This window comes from Homo sapiens, chromosome 6 (genome assembly GCF_000001405.40).
Source record: "Homo sapiens chromosome 6, GRCh38.p14 Primary Assembly".
NCBI classification, from domain to species: Eukaryota; Metazoa; Chordata; class Mammalia; order Primates; family Hominidae; genus Homo; species Homo sapiens.
In genome coordinates this window covers 132,641,433-132,659,247 of record NC_000006.12, presented here as the reverse complement: position 1 = coordinate 132,659,247, position 17,815 = coordinate 132,641,433, and the positions used below count along the sequence as shown (strand labels likewise).

The 17,815-nt window shown below is 35.9% G+C and overlaps 1 protein-coding gene across 1 annotated transcript, besides 2 other annotated features; it reads left to right on the top strand.

The window, feature by feature from the left end:
- The first annotated feature begins 65 nt into the window (after positions 1–65).
- TAAR1 (trace amine associated receptor 1) lies at positions 66–15,936 on the top strand. Its single transcript, NM_138327.4, has 2 exons — positions 66–118; positions 13,119–15,936. The coding sequence occupies exon 2, from the start codon at positions 13,245–13,247 to the stop codon at positions 14,262–14,264; it is 1,020 nt and encodes a 339-aa protein (NP_612200.1). The 5' UTR covers positions 66–118; positions 13,119–13,244; the 3' UTR covers positions 14,265–15,936.
- Positions 7,940–8,009: a silencer, noted in NCBI's record as "silent region_17552". NCBI's record gives its function as "represses an Ori minimal core promoter by ATAC-STARR-seq in GM12878 lymphoblastoid cells {active_cell/tissue: GM12878}" and the evidence as "EXISTENCE:reporter gene assay evidence [ECO:0000049][PMID:35858748]".
- Positions 8,020–8,069: a silencer, noted in NCBI's record as "silent region_17551". NCBI's record gives its function as "represses an Ori minimal core promoter by ATAC-STARR-seq in GM12878 lymphoblastoid cells {active_cell/tissue: GM12878}" and the evidence as "EXISTENCE:reporter gene assay evidence [ECO:0000049][PMID:35858748]".
- Positions 15,937–17,815: the final 1,879 nt, after the last annotated feature.

Genomic DNA, 17,815 nt, shown 5'->3' with positions numbered 1-17,815 from the left:
GAGCAGCAGTGGGCTCTAGCCAGCAGCAGGTATCCAGGAGATTGATGCAGACTGGTCCCAAAGGCAGTGTTCCTGCTGTCTGCTCATCCGCTGACTGTGTTCACTCTTACCTGAGCAGGTGGGTCTGAATTTGCTGAACAGCCAAACCAAATCCTAGAGACTAACCCAAAGGCCTAAAGTAGTATTTTACAGGAAGAATGCTAAAGATAATGAGATTTATCAATGGCTTGGTACTTATCCATCTGTTAAAATTTAGGATTATTTAGTGCGAAGATTAACAAGGGTTTTCTGTAATTTAGTTGCTTAGTAGCCCCTTTAGCAAGAGAAGCTAAAAGAATGGTTATATATTTTTAAATAGCTTGCTTTACATGTCTTTTAAAAAGTGTTGTTTCTCTTTTATTAAAAATTCATTTATGGAAAGCTAGGACATTTGAAAAGTTGAAACTTTTAAAAAATCTCCTTTTCTTGTTAATGAAGAAAGAAATTCTATGCTGTGTACATTGGCTAGTTTTAACATCATGTAAGGAGTCCTTATAGATTTTTTTAGGTTTTACAATTACAATATGTCTTATTGTTACTATATACACAACTAAACTGCAAAACCATAATCTTATTTGCACAGATATTATTTGTGCAAATATATTTGGTAGGAAAAATCCCAGTACATTTTCAAATGTATTGTGTCATATTAACATAATCCCTTTCAACTTAAACTAAATTCAGTGTGTGTGTATACCTGCCATATATTAGATCAATTAACTTAAGAACCTTTTAGTTACATTACCTAAATCTGATTCATATTACTTTATGCATGTCAAAATAGCAGAAACACTTTCATGTATAGTACATTTATCATAATATTGCTGGTGACTGTTTTACTCTTATTTGTTGGTTTGTGTTGATGTAGGAGCAAACAAATGAATTTCGTCCCATTTCCTGTTTCTTTGAAACAGAAATGGTTCACTTCCAGCAATGTTTCATCTCAAGAACCATGACTTAAACATTTAAAAATGCTGTTTCCCCTCACCCTGGTCTCTTTCCCCCTTTAGAAATAAGTATTTTTCAAACATATTTTAGTATGTTTATTAAAAATACTGGAATTACAGAGCTACAAGTATAGTTTTGGAGTAAAATTATTATTGTCTATTTTACATTTTATAATAGAACAAAAACAGGAAATGAGTTCAGTTCAGTAATTTAGTAAAAGTATAATTTTAGTACAAAGGTAAAATAGATAAATAAATCATGCAAAGAATTATACAAGTCAAAGAAACAAATAATACAAATTTATTGATAATTATTCACCAATAGTTTTTTAAAATGAAACTCAATTTATAAACAATACATTTACTTTTATTAAAAAAATTTCTAGTTATGAAAGTGAAACAGTCCCATAGAAAGAAACTTAGAATATGTCATAGAGATGGAAAAGTAAATAAAATTCACCCATAATTCACCACCCAGGTAAAAACGTTGCTAAAATTTTGTGTTATTTTCTTTTTGTTGTTAATCTTTTTGTGTGTTTTTTGAGTTTCAATCTCACTATCTCTGAGTAAACAATATTGAGAATTGGAGTATTCCATTCCATACTTATTTCCCATAATTACATAAATGCATGTGAGTGTGTATCCCTATTTATGATATTTTTAAATACTCTGCAAATGTTTTCTACTTAACAATATATTGACATATGATATTTTAGAATACATAATTGTATATTTTTAAATAACCTGTAAATGTTTTTTCTTTACTTAAAAATATACTATTGACAACTTTCTGTCTCTATATAGAAAGAACCAGATCATTTTATTTAACATCTTGTTAAATACATATCATATGTCTACTGATATATATATATATATATGTAAGTCTGACATCAAAGTTTAGATTATTTTACTTTTTTCTTTCGTTGCTATTACAAAAACAATTGCACTGAACGGAGCTGATTCAAACAATGTGAGCATTTTAAATTTTAAAAAAATGCTGCTAGACCAACTGTCCAAAATTTAATTATAACTACGCATCTTTCCATCCAGTCAAGAAGTTTAACTTGCCAGCCCCTCAGCACCCCTGATAACAACTAGGTGTTATTAAGATAGTTAGAATTTAAGTTTCAGGCCAATGTTAAGTGTTTCCTTGAAATTTATTTGTTTTTCATTTTGAATGTTCTTTTAACAAGCATTGTATTGTGTCATATTAACATAACCCCTTTCAATTTAAACTAAACCTTACTTTATATATTAATCATTGTTGTTGCTTTTATTTTTCATCTCTTGCTATTTATAAATTTTTGTTTTGATTTAATTTTTATATTGCTAGAGTATTTCCTAGAATTTCTCAGCAGGTGGTCATAAATACATTGTTACTGTCATTCTTTTACTCTTATATGATCACCCTTTTGACTGCATATAGGATTGTTGAATTGTCATCCTATTTCCCTCATAATTTCTAACCTCATTCTATTGCCTTCTGGCTTCCAAAATGACAGAGGAGATGTCCTATGCTAGCCTGAACTTCTTTCCTTTTAAAATAACCAGTTCTTTCTATTTGGGTGCTTATACAATCTTTTTCCTTGATACTCAGAATTCAGAACCAGGCTAAGTATATGTGCATGAATTTTTTTTAAGGTTCTATGAGGCACAGAAATGAAAATGAACTCCTCAGTTCATTTGTTCATTCATTCAATTCTTTATTCCCTTTTGTGCTCAGTACATGTTGTAGATATTTTCAGGCCTTGGAGCTTCAGCAGTGAATAAAACACATGCCATTCCCTTCTGACATCCTACTTCTATATATATATTTCATCTTATTGTCTCTCCCTCCCCCTATTTATCTCTGTTTCTCCCTTTCCTTACCTTCTGCCTATAGTGACCCATTAGAGTGCATCTATTTAAATTTAAATATATGTGTATTCTTGACACAGCACCTTGATTTCCCTTGCATTACTCTTGGATGTTTACTTAGTTGTTGATGAACACTATCTACAAGATGCTATTATAAGCATTTTATAAAAATTAACTCATTCCAGCTTCATAAGAGCTCTAGAAAATAGTTTTTTTTGTTTTTGTTTTCTTTTTGTTTGGTTGTTTTTCACATGAGGAAACTGCAGCCTCTGGAGGCTGGGTAGTATGTTCAAGGTCACAGGACCAGTGAATGGCCCAGCCAGGACTTGAACCAAACAGCTGAGCACTAAAGGCCTGCTCTTCCTCACACAGCTCCAACCTCACAAGGGCAAAGCGTTCGATTTCCCCTGCTTCTTGTCCCTCTGCAGTCACCATCTTCCCCATCTCTCTAACTAGTACCTCTGTTTTTCAAGCTGCTCAAGCCAAAGCCCTGTTACTTCCCTCCATGACTTTCTCTAAACCGACAATCAAGGCTATCTACAATTCCTGCTGGCTGTTTCTTCAAAACATGTCCAAACGTGATCTCTCCTCTCCACCCTGACAAACATTGCTGTGCTCCAAAGCACCATCTTCTCTCACCAGGTGACAGCTTCCGTTGCAGCAGCTCCCTAATTGATCTCCTTGCTTATGTCTTTGCTTCTCTGCATCTGTTCTCAAGGCAGCAATCGGAGTGATACTGTTAGAAAAGTCAAATCAGATCGGGTGTGGGGGCTTACTTCTGTATTCCTAATGCTTTTGGAGGCCAAGCCAGGAGGATTGCTTGGAGCCCCAGGCATTCAAGACCAGTCTGGGCAACTTGAAATACCTCCTGATGGTACATATCTGTGGTTCCATCTATTTAGGGGGCTGAGGCAGGAGGATCTTTTGAGCCCCAGAGATTGAGGCTGCAGTGAACCATGATGGCACCATTGCACTCCAGGCTAGGTGACACAGCAAGACCTTGTTTCAAAAAAAAAAAAAAAAAAAAAGAATGAATGAATTTGTATTTCTTTGTTTTTTGGCTTAATGTATGTGAGACTCTTCTATTTTATCCACCAGATCCGTGATTCAGTCTTTAGTTGTGATTATTCTCTTTTATAATTCTTTCATGGGTTTTCAAAATGTCTGTATCATTTCTTTTGGTTTCAAATGTTTATCTGTACTCTAATTTTTAATCTCATGTGTTTCTACTAAATTTTATTTAAAGTTCTTACTTTCCTGCTTCTATAGTAGCTGCCTTTTCTAGTTGACTTGGCCCCTCCCTGTGCTGCTACTGTATTTTGTTAAATGGCTTCTGAACTTTCATTGTTAGCTCATATCAGGGGTGTAGGATTTTTTTTGGCGGTCATGAAGACTGGGCTGTCAGAGGATGTCAGGAGGAAGTTTTCCTCTCACCTGCAGATCTATTTACAATGCTTGCTTCCAATTCTTTAATGCTGTGACTTTCCTCACTCTTGATTTTTTAAAAATGTATCTTTTCATCAACTATATTTCCATTTTAAAACAAAATTTGCCAGAATTATTTTAAAGTGAATTCGATGCTTAATTTGTGCAGAGGTCATTATTAGTCCTTTCATGGCTCAGTTTCCCAATTCTTGAGATCCTAATTCTTATACCTTTCTCAAAGGATTACCTTAAGAGTATTATTAGGAGGTATTAGGTATAAGAATCTTACACCTCTCTGCAAGTAATTTGTTTCCTTTTTAAAGTATACATGGGTGCTATAAGCCCTTGAATATATCGTAAAGTCATATTTCCCATATTTAACATTTTGTGGTTTCAAACGTTTTCTTATTGTTCTGTATACAGTGCCCCATTTAATTAAAAGATACAGTGTTCCTGAGAAGTTTAAGGTCAGCCTATATTTGTTCCTGTAAAGGTACATTATTTTAGGGCTACAGATTTGTAGGAAGAGACCAAACTACACTTACTATAAAGTTAAATTCTAGACTGTTAGCTATAGATACAAGTACCTACCAGCTGTCTTAAATTAAATAAGAACATGACATAGAGCACGAGAGACCAGAAAATTTCAGCAGTGTCTATTTCCCCAGAAACACTGATGCGAACACATGACAGCCAACAGCACTCTCATCCAGGATAGAACCTTGCTAGATTTGAAAGTGTGTTCTTGCTATAAGCACTGCTCTTTTAAAAGCTGGGCTTTGAAACACCTTTTGAGAATATCTGATCCTAACAACTATTCTTCCATTTAAGGACATGGTTAAAAACTTAAGGGTTTCTTGGTTCGGGAACCAAATGCAAAGTCAACATGTTTCCAATCCCAGGTGTAGAGAGAGAGAGGCTAGGGACCAGGTGTCTCCAGAAAACATTTTCTATATTTGAGGACTATTTAAGGGATTCACCTAGCATTTATGTTTTTTTCCCAGAACATTTTAAATGATTTATCTCCTTTGCCAATCATAGACTTGTGACCTTTCATAAACTCAAACTGGTTGTATTGGCTACCAGTGTTTTCTTTATGATGCTCCGATGGTCACCGATTGGGCAAGAACCAAATGAAACATTAAAAGTTTACCAAAGGTTTGAGTGTGATGGTTTCTGTGGGTTCATACAACTTTTATATAACGTTAGCCAAGATCAATAAGAGATCGTAAAACAACAGTATATTTAGGTTAACACAAAGTTTAGTTGCAATTTTAGGTCCATATTTCTTTTAAATTCTCTCCCACAAATCAATCAGGGTATCATGTATTTTAGACTATTTATTATCAAAGCAAGCACAAGATAGCCATCAAAAGTTCTAGAGCAAAAAGTCACATTCTGGCATAGATTATAATGTCCCATGTCTCTGTCTCCAATTTAGCATTATGTGGTAACTGCAAAATTACCAGACAGAAGAAAAACAGTGTCACTTAAACAGACACACACAAAGAATAACACACACAAAAACCCAAACATGCCGACCAGGCATTGAGATAGTGGCTTCTGCCTGGGTCAAAGACATTTTGTTTATTCTTAGTTTCCTTTAAGGTATGAAGTGGCCCCTACTTTGAATTGCCCAGAAACTTAACTGCTCCACATTTTTCTTCTTGGTGACTGCTTTTGCATGTCTATTTGGCTTGTGCATTCGGGTAAGGACACACTAGTATATTCCTGGTGGAAGGCTCTTCACTGTTGCAACTACAGGCCACTCCACTGTCATTTTCTTGTTGGGATGCCAATTTCCTTGGGGGAAGGAGCAGAAGATCTTGATCTTTTCCTAAATCTGCTTTGGAGCTCAGGTGATTTTCTCCTGTAGGAACTGGGCATGCTGAGAACCTCTTCATCCAAACCTGCACAACTGCCGCCTCCCCTAGGCTTTGTTCATTAGGACACCACTGTTTGCAGCTTAGTTTTCAAAAGGCCTTGTCTCCCCCGCACTCCACCCACTACTCTGACTCTATGATTGCCTCTTTTGGGGGACTCTGGGGACCTCCTTTTCTTTTATTTGATGGTGAATTTCTCTTTTGTTCAATATCAGCTATTGAACCTACTCTCCACACCTTCCATAGAGTTCTTACCTACTCCTCACCTGTTAAAAAAGAGTGGTGAGGAGGAAACCAATCACTTCTTATTGGCTTAGAAGCTATGTCCTTGAGTCAATAATATAAAATAAACCAAAGAAAAGGGGGAAAATAGAAGCAAGTTCAGGTTGTGAAATATATAGCTTCAGGGAAGCCAGGAATTCTTCTATCCTTTTCTTTTATCTCGTATGTCTCTGGTTCAGTAAGGATGACTTCCCTTAAGAATAATGTCTGAGCCAGGTGCGGTGGCTCACGCCTGTAATCCCAGCACTTTGGGAGGCCGAGGCAGGCGGATCACGAGGTCAGGAGATCAAGACCATCCTGGCCAACATGGTGAAACCCCGCCTCTACTAAAAGTACAAAAATTAGCCAGGCATGGTGGTGTGCGCCTGTAATCCCAGCTACCAGGGAGGTTGAGGCAGGAGAATTGCTTGAACCAGGGAGTTGGAGGAGGTTGCAGTGAGCTGAGATCCTGCCACTGCACTCCAGTCTGGTGACAGAGCAAGACTCCATCTCAGAAAAAAAAAAAAAAGCAGAATATCTGAAAGTCAGAAGCTTTATTTACACTTTTACCAAAAAAAATTCATATCTCAATCACTTCTTTTTTAGTTTTTCACCTGAAGGCCAAAAGTATTTCATATAACCTCTCCTCTGAACACCAATGGAAAAAAAAATCACCTAGCTTGTACCAGTCACAGAGCTCCAGATTTGTAGTTTTTGCTGCCTTGTCTATAAAAATAGCAGTAATAACTCACTTATATTAAAATAGTTACTCATGCTTGAAAGTATACAGAACTTGATGAATTTAAGTAGGTTATAGATGGGCAGAATGCAGCCTCACATACACACACTACTGTAGGATTACATCAAGTTCTAGGAGACATTGTGAGAAGTGTGGTCTTAACATCAGGCAGGCACAGATGCAGCATGTCACCATGCAGGTTTCTTTGGCCTGATAGGGGCGCATGGCTGACAATGTCTCAGTATTGGCTCTGGGCATATTTTTTATGCCCCTGTTCTTTTACATTTGAGACTCATGTTCTACCATTCTGGAAGAATTTATGTGAAAATGTATGTACTTATGTGATCACTTTGGCTGCTTGTTGGGGATACTTTCTGTGGAGAGACAGGAGAAGAAGCAGGGGAACCAGCTGGGAGGTTATTAGATTAATCTGGAGATTGTTGGTGGCTTGGACCAGGATGGTGATAGTAGTAGAAATGAGGAGAAATGATCTGATTCTAGATAACTTTTTAATGAAGGGCCAAGATCATTTATTGATGAATTGGATATGTTGTTGAGTGCGAGAAGCTAAGAATTAACTCAAAGTTTTGGATGGAGGACGTTCAAGAATAGAGTTGTCATGTTCTAGATATATAGAGAGCAGAAGGAGAAGCTAGGCACAGGAGGGAGGTCAAGGGCTTGGCTTTAGACAAGTTAAGTGGTGATATCCTGTGGGAAGCAGGAAATACTAGTCCAGAGTTCAGAGGGAAGGTCAAAGCTGGAAGTATTCATATGATACTCATCAGAGTGTAGACTATGCCATAATACAGCATGAAATCACCAAGGGAGTGGTTATGAATAGGAAAGGGAACTGAGGACTGAGACTTAGTGCCAGTGAGATGAAGAAGAACCGTAACAGCCACTGACAAGAGCAGCTTGTGAGATAGCAGAACCACAGCGGGGTGGTGACCCAGGAGCCGAGGGAAGAAATTGTTTCAAGGGGGAATTGAAAGGCCAAGCAAGAACTTGAGGCCTGATAACTTACCACTGGGTTTAGTAATGTAGAATAACTTGGTTAAGAACTGTTTTGGTGGAGTATTGATGATGAGATTCTCATTACAGTGAATTTTAAGAGATAGGATTAGAGGAATTAGAGACAGGGAGTATAAATGACTCAAAGGGTTCCTTTCTGATAAAGGGGTAGTCGATAAATGAAAGAAGATGTGAGCTTCAATAATTCTTTTAAGGTGGAAAGTATTACTGCATATTTGAGAGTGAAGGTATTTGGAAGAGAACCACTGAAGATGCAGGGGAGAGAGAGTTGGAGGGTATATCTTGGAATAGGCATAAAGAGATGGGTATGGGGCACATCTGAGGAAAGGCCTGTGATGGGAGAGAGTCCATTCATTTACAGTAATTTGCAGCAATAAGGGAGTGGGCTGAATATGTAAACAGGTATAGGCTGGAGGGATGTGGACATTCTCTTCTGATTGCATCACTTTTTTCAGTGAAACAGAATGCAAAGTCATTAGGTGAGAGTAAGGATGTGAATAAGTATTTGAGATTCAAGAAGGCATGAAATAGTCATCTCAGAGAGGAGAGGAATGAATGTAACAGGGAAATGGAGTAGGATTCCTGAGCAATTGTAATGGTCCATTTTTGTTACGAATTTAAAAGAAGGCTATTGTGTGTTTTTCTATGCCACATTCAGTGTGCCAGAGTGGAGTGAGAGGAAAACTGCATTTAACCAGTGTTCAAATTTAGCCAGGAAAGTATGTTAATGTGAGAGAGCTTAAGATAATGCCAGGAAATACTGGAATCTAAACTGAGTAAAGAGGTAGACATGAGTAAATGAAGGACAGTGGAAAGGTGTGTAAAATAAATGAATTGAGGGCTTCGAGTTGAAAAATTGTTGGAAAGGAAGCACTAGTGAAAAATTGTTGGAAAGGAAGCACATGGGCTGGGAGGACAGGATGTGAAGCTTGAAACCAATCATTTGGATGACTCTTGTCATTGATAATGACATCCGGGGATATGACCATGGAAGGTGAGATGAGATGGAGGCGAGTCTATGATTGTTAAAAGATAGAGGTCGATGAACTAAGAGTCCATTATTGGAAGGATCATTTAGGTGGACAATAAAATTGCTAAGAACTTTAGCAGGAGTAGCGTTACGGACAGTGACAGTAAGCCAGGAACTCATATCTTCAAGAAGTACAGAGAGATGACTTGGGAGTCTGTACATGCCTGCAATAGGAGGAAGTTGGTATGGTTTGTGTCCCCACTCAAATCTCATCTTGAATTGTAGTTCTCATAATCCCCACGTGTCATGGAAGGGACCTGGTGGGAGGTAATTGAATGATGGGGGAAGCTACCTCCATGCTGTTCTCATGATAGTGAGTGAGTTCTCATGAGATCTGATGGTTTTCTAAGGGGCTTTTACCCCACTTCACTCTGCACTTCTCCTTGCTGCCACCATGTGAAGAGGAATGTGTTTACTTCCCCTTCTACCATGACTGTAAGTTTCCTGAGGCCTTCCCAGCCCTGCGGAACTGTGAGTCAATTAAACCTCTTTCCTTTATAAATTACCCAGTCTCAGGCAGTTCTTTGTAGGAGTGTGAGAATGGACTAATACAGAGGTATAGCATGAAGACATGAACTTCAAAGCTTGCAAGGGGTTAGAGGTTAGGGTGGAAAGATCTTCAATGGCAATGAGTGTAAGTGGACACTTACTCTTTCTCCAGATCATATAATATGAAGAGGTACAAGGAATGTAGGAAAGAAAACAGCCGCCATTGACAAGGTTGCAGGGGAGAAGGTATCCTGAGGAGAGAGAGTTTTAGTTAGAACAAAGAGTGGGAAGCAGATTTAAAAAAAGAATTTTAGGAAATGGAATAAAGACCATGAGTCCCCAAGGGCACTCTTGGAAGGGTTTTGTGAGTAATACCACAATGGGAAATTGGTTTGGATTAGGAAATGAGTAGAGTAGTATAGAGATGAAATTCTGAACAATTAGGAATGGGTGGTTAATGGAATCCGGGACAAAGCTTATGATAGGGTTAGTGTTCATGACCTTCTGTTGGAAAGTTGAGGCACTCTGCCCGGGATTTCCTGCCTTGCTAGACAGATCTATTTTAAACTATAAGTTCTATCAACATATTTTTAATTCATATGTCATTTTCAAACATTAGATGATTAGATCATTTACACAGAACTGTTTACTTAGTTAGGTAATCAAACAGCAATTTGTTAACTTCCCATATTGCTATTGTATATTCAACCTGGAAACTTTGTATATACAGATAATAATTATCTCTAGCTTGTAAATTCTTAAAGCTGAAAGAAAAGAAACAAAAACACTATTTTGCCAGGTCCTTAGATAAGCTTTCAACTCACAATGTTGTCATAGAGCACTTAAACAAATAAATCTATTCAAAAACAATTTATAACACTTCAAAAAGCACTCATACAATGATGTTTAATATTCTTTAAGTTGGGCAGACAAATTATTCTACAGATGTGGCATTCATACTATCAACAATTTCTAAGATACTGTGCCTAAGGCTTGATGTCTCTTAAACCAGTATGTGCAAATATGAGCTTGCGGTAACCTCTGAGTCATTTTGGTCAGAGCCACAAAAAACAAGGCCTATGAATTTGCCAGATGGCGTTTTCATCTTCTGTGAATTTCCTCTTCTAAAAGTGAAATTTGTATTTTGCTTTATTTCCACCTTCCCTTACTTCTTTTTGAACCCTAGTTCCTACTGAGAGTCCCTACTCAATATGACATCAGGAAGAAATGTTTTTAAGAGTCAGGAATAAATAAACACTTCTGAACAGTGATTTTGAGTGTTGTGTGGTTCCTTTAGTAAGTCAACAAATAAGTAAAAGAAAGAAGGAAAAGAGAGGGAAATAGTGGAGGAAAAGTCTAACTAGAAAATATATAACTTAACTGATTGAGTTTAGTTAAATGCAAACTTAAATTTCATAGTAAGAAATCCATCATTGTTTTAATGAAATCATAATCGTAATTCAAATATTGCTTAGTTTAAATAACAGTTTTTGTTTGCTGTTTAGCTTCTATCATGGAATGAGCCTGTGTGTCTTTTTAAATAAATCTTACAGATTTATTTGGTATAAATATGTTTCCTTCTGGGAATAGAAGACCAAAGGAGATTAGGGGAAAAATGTTCCAAATTTATTAAAATATACATTTTCATACCTAGATATTGCATTTCTCTCATTCTAAACCATCAGCCCAGAGGGAAGGGAAAAAGATAAAAAGGAAGGCAGACTCCTGGAATTCTAGGAATTGTTGCTGTTTTCTAGCATTTTCCTACCAAAGTGATAGACTATAGGACTTCATTGCCAGAAATTTGTACTCTTCCCCAAGCTCTTTCTCCTTCCTTCCTTCTTTCCTTCCTTCCTTTCTTTCTTCTTTCTTTCTTTCTTTCTTTCTTTCTTTCTTTCTTTCTTTCTTTCTTTCTTTCTTTCCTTTTTCTTTCTTTCTTTTTTCTTTCTCTTTCTTTCTTTCCTTTCTCCTTCCTTCCTTCCTTCCTTTCTTTTTTCTTTCTTCCTTCCTTCCCTCCTCCTCTCCTTTCCTCCCTCCCTCCCTTCCTTTCTTCCTTCTTCCTTTCTTTCTCTCTCTTTTCTTTCTTCCTTTCTCTCTCTCTCCCCCCTCTTCTCTTTATATATATGTACATGTCTGTGTATGTGTTATATATGTGTGTGTGTGTGTGTGTGTGTGTGTGTGTGCATGCGTATGTGTGTGTGTAAGTCCAAGTTCTAGAATTTAGCTCAGAATTACAGGGTCATATAGAAACAAAAGGGACAGTTTCAAACTGAGTCCCCTGGAACTTTGAGGTTCTTCAGTGAAGTACAAGAAGAGGAGGCCTAGTAGAAGATGCCTACTCATAATAATTTTTTTTACCTGTTTTATAAAGTGAGATTTATTGGATTTCAGAACTTAAAAACTAAAAAGGTTGTGTGCCTTGCCCACGGCCCACATGGAAACTCAGCTTCCCTGGGCTCTCACCTCAGTGCTCTTTGCACCATGCCACTTCACTTCTTACCATAGACTTTAGTCTGTATATCAAAAATCCTTAATAAGTGGGACCACAATATCATTCTTCACTAGTAGGTGCCATTATTTAAGACATCATAAATTCTTATATGAAAATTTAAAGCTTAATTTTTAAAAATTGACCTCAAGTTGGTTCTTTCTGCAATAGAGAGAAAGACTGGACTGATATCAAAGAAACTGAACTAGTAATTGAGACCACAGCTCATATTCAAGCTTTAATGATTTGTGAATTAAACTTCAATTTCTTGCCAGTAAAATGAGGTTAATGAAGCATGTCATGTCTTCCTTACAAAAAATGATGTTGGTCTTATAAATGTCAAATAAAACTGTAACTGAAATAATGCATGGAATATATGTAGAAGTACTTTGCAAGCTGCAAATAAATATATGTAAGCTTCTTCTTATTACAATTAATTATAAAATAAGAAATATATAATTTACGTATGACCAAGTGCAGAAGTGGGCATAGTGCGTATTAATTCTGCACAAGAGGCACATTTAAAAGACTTCTTGTCTTTTTCATAAACATATTTTAATTCCAAATTTTCTGGCAATTTCTTTCTACCCTTTACAATGTAAGTCTCCCCCACTAGACTGGCTTCCTATGGACACAGATTGTTTCCATAGATTAAGATGTGTGATCATAATCATCATTTGATCTTCTCTGACCTACAAATGTGGCAGTTTCATATAGTTCAACCTAATAATTTAGCTTCATATTTCTAGAAGAATGTCCAGCTCCAGGTAAAAGTTTTTTAAAAATTGCTGTACTGAACTATTGAATGGAACTTGGAAATAAAGTCCCTTCCAAAATAACTATTCTTCAACAGAGAGTAATAGGTAAATGTTTTAGAAGTGAGAGGACTCAAATTGCCAATGATTTACTCTTTTATTTTTCCTCCTAGGTTTCTGGGATAAGTATGTGCAAATAAAAAATAAACATGAGAAGGAACTGTAACCTGATTATGGATTTGGGAAAAAGATAAATCAACACACAAAGGGAAAAGTAAACTGATTGACAGCCCTCAGGAATGATGCCCTTTTGCCACAATATAATTAATATTTCCTGTGTGAAAAACAACTGGTCAAATGATGTCCGTGCTTCCCTGTACAGTTTAATGGTGCTCATAATTCTGACCACACTCGTTGGCAATCTGATAGTTATTGTTTCTATATCACACTTCAAACAACTTCATACCCCAACAAATTGGCTCATTCATTCCATGGCCACTGTGGACTTTCTTCTGGGGTGTCTGGTCATGCCTTACAGTATGGTGAGATCTGCTGAGCACTGTTGGTATTTTGGAGAAGTCTTCTGTAAAATTCACACAAGCACCGACATTATGCTGAGCTCAGCCTCCATTTTCCATTTGTCTTTCATCTCCATTGACCGCTACTATGCTGTGTGTGATCCACTGAGATATAAAGCCAAGATGAATATCTTGGTTATTTGTGTGATGATCTTCATTAGTTGGAGTGTCCCTGCTGTTTTTGCATTTGGAATGATCTTTCTGGAGCTAAACTTCAAAGGCGCTGAAGAGATATATTACAAACATGTTCACTGCAGAGGAGGTTGCTCTGTCTTCTTTAGCAAAATATCTGGGGTACTGACCTTTATGACTTCTTTTTATATACCTGGATCTATTATGTTATGTGTCTATTACAGAATATATCTTATCGCTAAAGAACAGGCAAGATTAATTAGTGATGCCAATCAGAAGCTCCAAATTGGATTGGAAATGAAAAATGGAATTTCACAAAGCAAAGAAAGGAAAGCTGTGAAGACATTGGGGATTGTGATGGGAGTTTTCCTAATATGCTGGTGCCCTTTCTTTATCTGTACAGTCATGGACCCTTTTCTTCACTACATTATTCCACCTACTTTGAATGATGTATTGATTTGGTTTGGCTACTTGAACTCTACATTTAATCCAATGGTTTATGCATTTTTCTATCCTTGGTTTAGAAAAGCACTGAAGATGATGCTGTTTGGTAAAATTTTCCAAAAAGATTCATCCAGGTGTAAATTATTTTTGGAATTGAGTTCATAGAATTATTATATTTTACTGTTTTGCAAATCGGTTGATGATCATATTTATGAACACAACATAACGAACCACATGCACCAACCACATGGATTTTTTTTTAAATCAGTTACTTGAGTCAAAGTATGTATGGTGAGTTAAATTATGATGCTTATAGGTAATTTCCTATTTGGGACATAGTAGGTATACGCTTTTCCATTCTTACCACACATAATGGAACTTTGCAAATCCAGTATTTAAAGGCCTACATTTTATATAACTTTTCCTGCCCTTAGAAGAACTGCCATGAGTTTACTGTGGTACCTTAGTCAGCTGTTCAGTGGTGGAAACTATAGGGCTGAATTTGAGGATGCAAATCAGAATGATTTTGTCATATACGTATACATGTCCTGGTCACATATGTGTATAAGTCTTTTAGTAAAATCAACTAAAAGTACACACATTAAATGTTACCGCTAAATAATTGTTGACACATAATTTATTTGTATTGTTAATATATATTCCAATCCTTAAATATCTTGATCTTCACATTTTTAAATTATGTTTTTCTGATTCTCATGCTTCTAAGAAATTTGAAAAATAAAGGAAAATATAAAAATAAAATATATACAAACCAAATGAAATTAAAAAAATGTTATTCATAGTATACTTCCTGGTAAGGATTATATCATCTAAAATTCTTTATTTTATATTAATATTTCTCTTTTTCAACTTTTATTTTGGAGTCGGGGCATATGTGCACATATTAACTAAATATAATGCATGATGCTGAGGTTTGAGCTATGAGTAATCCCTTTTTGTGGCTGTATAACGTGACTGCACAGATGTACAAATATATTTTTAACCATTCCCTATTGTTAATTCCAGTTGTTTCTAACTTTTCTAAAAATAATATAAATTAAATGAAATTCCTGCTTTTTACCTGCCACTGAAGTCATGAAAATGTCTAGAAGGATTTTACCATGTCTTAAGGTCATATCTGGCATGATAGGGTTCAAAACACAGGCTACCTGGTATTAAACAAATTCACTTTGCTGGGCTCCACAATACACAGAAGGAGAAGCAGTCATCCATCAAAGTAGCTAAACATGAGGGCCAACAAGAAGTATAATCAGACTAGATGTACCATGGCTATTTAGATGGCATATATAAAAATACAAAAGAGGAACAAATAATGGTTTCAAATAAGATTCTCTAAAGGAAGTGGGCAAACATTCTAAATTACAAGCATTCATCAGCAATTGAGCTGATGAATACAAACTTCACATGGTCTGTTTCAGATTGAGTATCACTGGGGATTTGGATTTACCTTCTGCTCATGAATAAGTTAGGGTAAGGCAAATGATTTTAAACGTAACTAAATGCACACTGCTGCGTATAAATTTCTGTTTACAAATCTGAGGATCTCCGGAGGATATGTGAAATCCTTCCAGAAATTATAGTCTGTTTCTGGAGTATATATTTTGTTTCAATGATCTGTATCAATTTTTGCTCTAGTACTTTTAAAAACATTATGTTTTATGTTTTTAATTTAGTACACACAAGACTAAATAAGTAGTGTCCCTAATCACTCTCAGTTTCAAAAGAGTTTTTTTCACCTGTGAGACCAGTTTGACTTTTTTCACCTGTGAGTCCAGTCTGTCAAATTTTAAAAAGGAAACAAGCATTTAGTGAGTTTTCTATACTTTACAGTAATTTTATGTGCTGTTCTTCATTTGCTCCCATAATTCTTCTTAAGATTACTCTGAAGTGTTTTGTGCTTTTCTCTATGTATGTTTTGCCTATTCTGAATTTTTTTCTAAAACCATTATGTTTTCTTTGTAATCATTACTGCTGGTTATATAATAAAGTTTATATTAGCTTTTCAGTTGACTCGTTTGGGTTTTCATTATACAAATCATGTTATCCTCAAACAAGGCTAAGTTTTATCTTCTTTCCAATAATTATGATTCTGATTTATATTCCTTACTGTACTTCATTAGTTAGAATTTCTAAATCAGTATTGATAATGGTAATAACAATCATCTTTGTCTTATCTTACATTTACTTTAAAGTACTATACAGGTTTTAGCATTGATTCCACATTTATCTTGGGACAAGTTCATGACTCAAATAATTTTACATTTTTCACTCGGTACTAAAGCTCTTACAGTCTATTTTTATTGTAGGTTCTGTTTTTAATATTCATAATAAGTAATAACTGCCCCTCTCAGCAAAACAAAAAGAAAGGCTTGCTTCGTCTTTCCATATTCCCAGCTTTGCTGTAGCTTCCCTTTCCTCATGAAAGGTGTTTTTGTCTTTTGATTTTCCGGAGTCTATATAACAACTGGAATCCAATTCACTTTTGAGGTGTTTTTTATTCCAACTAGTTATAGTTCATTGGAACTATAATAAAAAGATTGACCCCCTGCCTCTCCCTTTAACTAAACAGATGAGTAAATTACTGATATTTTCAGAATTTTCTCTAGAATTTGAATCTCTAACAAAGGGATAGAAACAGTGATTCTTAGCAGAATAATTAGCAGAAAACAATGAAATCATGTGGGTGTCCATTTTATCCAAGCGGTAAGATCATGAGCAGACTGCTCATGTTAATATCAAGGTTTCTTTCTTCCCAGACTCCAGAACTACCCACCTGTCTGTTCATTTCCAAATTCAGTTATCCAGCATGGATTCCACGAATCCCAGATAGCCTGCTAATTAATTCCTCTTGAGAATAGCTTTTGGTTGCATCCACAGAAAGAACCTTAAGTTGACATACAAGATTATAGCAAATACCAAGAAAGCAATTTCAATGACACTCCTTCCCCAGGTCAAGATAACTTGCAATCAAAACGGTCTCAACCTCCACCCTCTTCTCAAAGAGGAATATTCATATAAATTTCCACTCCAGATCAGTAAAAGAAGTGTTAGCAAGGAAGTTTGTTGGAACTGATTTATTAGCAATAATAATAATGCCGTCTTAAGAGATCAGTGAACTGGAGTCCATCTTGATTTTGAAGTCAGTTCTTGAAGTCAATAATCCAATCTTTAGAGACTCATAAATATTTGCCAAAAAAGTAGTGCAAACCAGATAAACTCCAATTCCTTGTCCATTCTGATGAGCCACAGTGTCCCTTTAGTTCCCAAGAAGAACCTGAATATTAAAGGTGTAAAGAAACATTCAGAATGATTTATGGTTCTAAATTTAGTAGATGATAAAGTGTACTGACAAAATTATTATTTAGTAGTTGAGATATGCACTCAAAATGTAGATGATGTAAGAATCAGATTGAGAGTTTTGTTTTTTGTCTTTTGCTTTTTTAAAAAGATAAAGTACGTATGCATTTTCCAAAGTGCTTTAATATAATTCACTGAGTACGTGGCCAGATATTAAAAATATTGTAAGTAAACTTGACAGATCCTCACCTTCTTCTCCATATCTCTCTTCCTCCTAAACCTCCTGCCTCAAGCCTTTAAGCTCCCAGTGAACTTAGGCTGCTCTAACATTCATTCCATTGAGGCTGGTTCTGTTGTGATTCACATTAGCTTCAGCATTTCCTTTGTTTCTTTCATTT

Bases quoted from the DNA above. Each gene is read 5' to 3' on its own strand.
- TAAR1 (NM_138327.4), top strand. From the start codon at position 13,245: ATGATGCCCTTTTGCCACAATATAATTAATATTTCCTGTGTGAAAAAC.